The sequence below is a fragment of the Homo sapiens genome, chromosome 7 (assembly GCF_000001405.40).
Source record: "Homo sapiens chromosome 7, GRCh38.p14 Primary Assembly".
NCBI lineage: Eukaryota > Metazoa > Chordata > Mammalia > Primates > Hominidae > Homo > Homo sapiens.
In genome coordinates, this window is record NC_000007.14 from 111,330,510 (window position 1) to 111,334,335 (window position 3,826).

General features: G+C 33.1%; 1 protein-coding gene across 26 annotated transcripts in view; it reads right to left on the minus strand.

The window, feature by feature from the left end:
* The window catches only part of IMMP2L (inner mitochondrial membrane peptidase subunit 2), an 899,849-nt gene that overhangs the window by 667,866 nt on the left and 228,157 nt on the right, over positions 1-3,826 (minus strand). The window lies entirely within an intron of this gene.

A 3,826-nucleotide genomic window follows, 5' to 3' on the forward strand; every position in this document is an offset into this window, starting at 1 on the left:
GAAAAAAAAAACTTGTAACAATCAACTCAGAGACATATTTTAGTAAAAGTAGTAGACATTCAAGATAAAGGAAAAATCCTCAGGGAATCCAGGCAAATGAATTCAAACAACATACACAAGTAAAAGAATTAGACTGGCAATAGATTTATCAAAAATAAGATTCATATCCAACAAGAGGTTAGTATACAAAATGTACATAAAGCTCAAATGACTCAATAGCAAGAAAACCAAAAATCCAATTTAAAAATGGTCAAGATATCTGAATAAAAATTTCTCAAAAGAAGACATACAAATGTCCAGCAGACATATGAAAAAATGTTCAACATCGCTAATCATTAGAGAAATGCAAATTAAAGACCACAATGAGATATCATCTTACACTTATCAGAATGGCTATTATCAAAAAGACAAAAGTTAACAAATATTGACAAGGATGTGGAGAAAAGGGAATCCTTGTATACTGTTGGTGCGAATATATATTAGTATATCGATTATGAAAAACTGTATGGAAGTTCCTCAAAAAACTAAAAATAGAATTAGCATATGACCCAGCAATCCCACTTCTGGGTGTTTACCTAAAAGATTTGAAATCAGTTTGTTGAAGAAATGTCTGCATTCCATGTTTATTGCAGCACTATTCACCATCGCTAAGTTATGGAATCAACCTAAGTGCCCATCAATGGATGAATGGATAAACAAAATGTGGTAAATATACACAGTGAAATTCTATTCAGCCCTTAAAAAGAAGGATTCTGTCATTTGTAGCAGCATGTGTGAAAATGGAGAACATTATGCTAAGTGAAATAAATAAGGCAAACAAAGACAAATATCACGTTCTCACTTATATGTGAAATCTACAATAACCTAACTCATAGAAGCAGAGAGTAGGATGGTGGTTAAAGCAGTTCAGGCAGTAAGGAATGGGGAAATGATAACCAAAGGGTATAAAATCTCAGGAGAAATATGCTTTTTTTAGTTCTATTGCACAGCATGATGATTATAGTCAATAATAGAGTACTGCACATCTTAAAATTGCTAAGAGAGTAACATTCAAATGTTCTCACCACAAAAAAAGGTATTTGAGGTATTGAATATGTTGTTAACTAACTTGATTTAATTATTCCACATTGTATTCATGGATCATACATCACTTTATACTCCATAAATTTATACAATTATAAATTATCAATTTACAATTTTTAAAAAGATTCAAAGCAAGATACCAATGGGGCAGCATTTCCATAAGGCTCCAGGAAATAAAGGGAAATCCAAGGATTTGTATATAGCCAAGCTGCCTTCGAGTATCCAAGCTATAAAAAAAGTTTTTAACATGCAAGAATTCAAGGAATTCTGGATCCATGAGTTCTTAAGGAATCTACTAGAAGATGACCTTAACCCAACTTGTTATTAACTGGGAAAGTTAAGCAAAAAAACTAATAGTATACATATATATATTTATTTGTAGGTATAAGACACACGGGAAAATACATCATGTGCTATATGCTATATATTATGTGCTGTTTTCTCAAAGTAGAAATAATGCCACAAAAACAATAAGACAAAAAGGCTGTTTTATAGGCATGAGGCAGGAACTAAAGAATATCAATAACAGCCGAATAACCAGATGTTAAAAGGTCATAATGTTTAAATGGGGAATAAGGACGTTAGTAAAGAAATAAGTATAAACACATCATCTAGACCAAAATAAAACCTTCCTAGAAAAAAAAACTTCAAAAATCGAATAGTAAAAAAGGTTACTAGAGAAAGAAGCCAAGCAAATATAATATAGCGTGCATAATATTTATAATATGACAAAATTAAAATCAAAACATCAGTCTTTTCAATAATTGTGCAGGCACTTAACCTACCAACTGAAAGAAAATCATATAAAATCAAATGCAAGCCAAAAAGCATTAAATGTAACAAAGAAGGACACGTTTTAACGCTAAAGCCAAAATCACAATAAAGACATATTAAATATAAATATCTATGTACCAAATAATATAGTACCTTTTTGTAAAACAAAAACTATAAGAGATGCCAGAAGTCCCAAAAAGAACACTAATAATAGGAGATTTTAACATACTACTTAGAACAAGGCAGATCAATAAACATGTAAAATGAAAATTTAAAAACACCTACAATATAACTAATAAGGTAGATTTTATGAATATATGTCAAACTTTACACCCTAAAAATAAACTTTTCTCTCAAATGCATGTGGAGCATCACAAAAACTGATCATATATTAGGTGATAAGGAAAATATCAGTATGTTCTATAAAATAGTAATGCTATAAGAAATATTTTCTAACCAAAATTAAAATAAAACTAGAAATTATTTAAGCACTTTTTAAAAAAGGCTCCTTGCGATGGTTAATACTGTCAACTTGATTGGATTAAATGAAATCAGTCTACTACTCCACAATGGAGGTAAGGGATATCTGGAATACAGGAGATCCCTTAGGGTGTCTCTTAGTATTACCATGCCCTCTGATTAAGGTCAATGGGAAACTACAACAGCCCAATCCAGTCAGGGCTACAAATAGCCCAGACCCTCCAGGAATGAAGGTTTGTGTCACTCCACCAGGAAAAAAACAAGACCTGCTGAGGTGCTTGCTGAAGGCAAAGGGAATACAGAATGGGTAGTAGAAGAAGGTAGTCATCAATACCAGCACGTGACCAGTTGCACAAACAAGGACTGTAATTGTAATGAGTATTTCCTCCTTCTTTTGTTAAGAACATGTTTGTGCATGTATATATTTGTACAAGAAAATATCTTCATTTTATTTCCTTTTTCCTTTAAATGTGACATAAGATTCATTGACTTGCTATCAGCATTTAAGTGTTGTTAACCTTACATAATAGCATTTGGGTTGGGGATTTGTGCATTCCTGGTTGTACGAAGGATAGTTTTATTATGTTAGGCATAATTATGATATTATTGTCTTTATTTGAAGACTATGATTTCAGGAAATGTATATGGGTTCAAGTTGACAAGGGGTCGACTTGTGATGGTAAATATTGAGTGGATTGTAATATTGATTGGATTGAAGGATGCAAAGCTCCCTAGGTGTGTCTGTGAGGGTGCTACCAAAGGAGATTAACATTTGAGAGACAAAGGAGAGACAGACCCACCCTCAATCTTAGTGGGCACCATCTAATTAATCAGCTGACAGTGTAGCCAGAATAAAAGCAGGCAGAACATGAAAAGACTAGACTGGCATAGTCTCCCAGCCTACATCTTTCTCCCGTGCTGGGTCCTTCCTGCCCTTGAACATTGGACTCCAAGTTCTTCACCTTTGTAATTCGGACTGGCTTCCTTGCTCCGCAGCTTGCAGATGGCCTATTGTGGGACCTCACCTTGTGATCATGTGAGTCAATACACCTTAATAAACTCCGCTTTATATACACATCTAACTTATTAGTTCTCTCCCTCTAGAAAACCCTGATACACTCTTCAACCTGTATATCTTCTTCTAGAAAAAAACCTTTTCTTAAACAACTCTTAGGTGAAGGGGTAAATACAAGCTAAAAGTAGAAAATATATTTTAAACAATTATAAGCACACTACATATCAAAAATTTTTATTTTTATTGATGTAAAATATACATATGTAATTTATCATCTATACCATTTTTAAGTGTATAATTTGGTGGTAATAAATACATATTATATATATATATATTTCCCCCCTTCATCTCCTCCTCCCCTCTTCCACTTCCCAGCCTCTGGTAACTACAAATCTACTCTCTGTGTTCTTGACAGTCACTTTTTTAGCTCCCACATGAATGTGAACATGTTATATTTGCCTTTCTGTGCTTGGC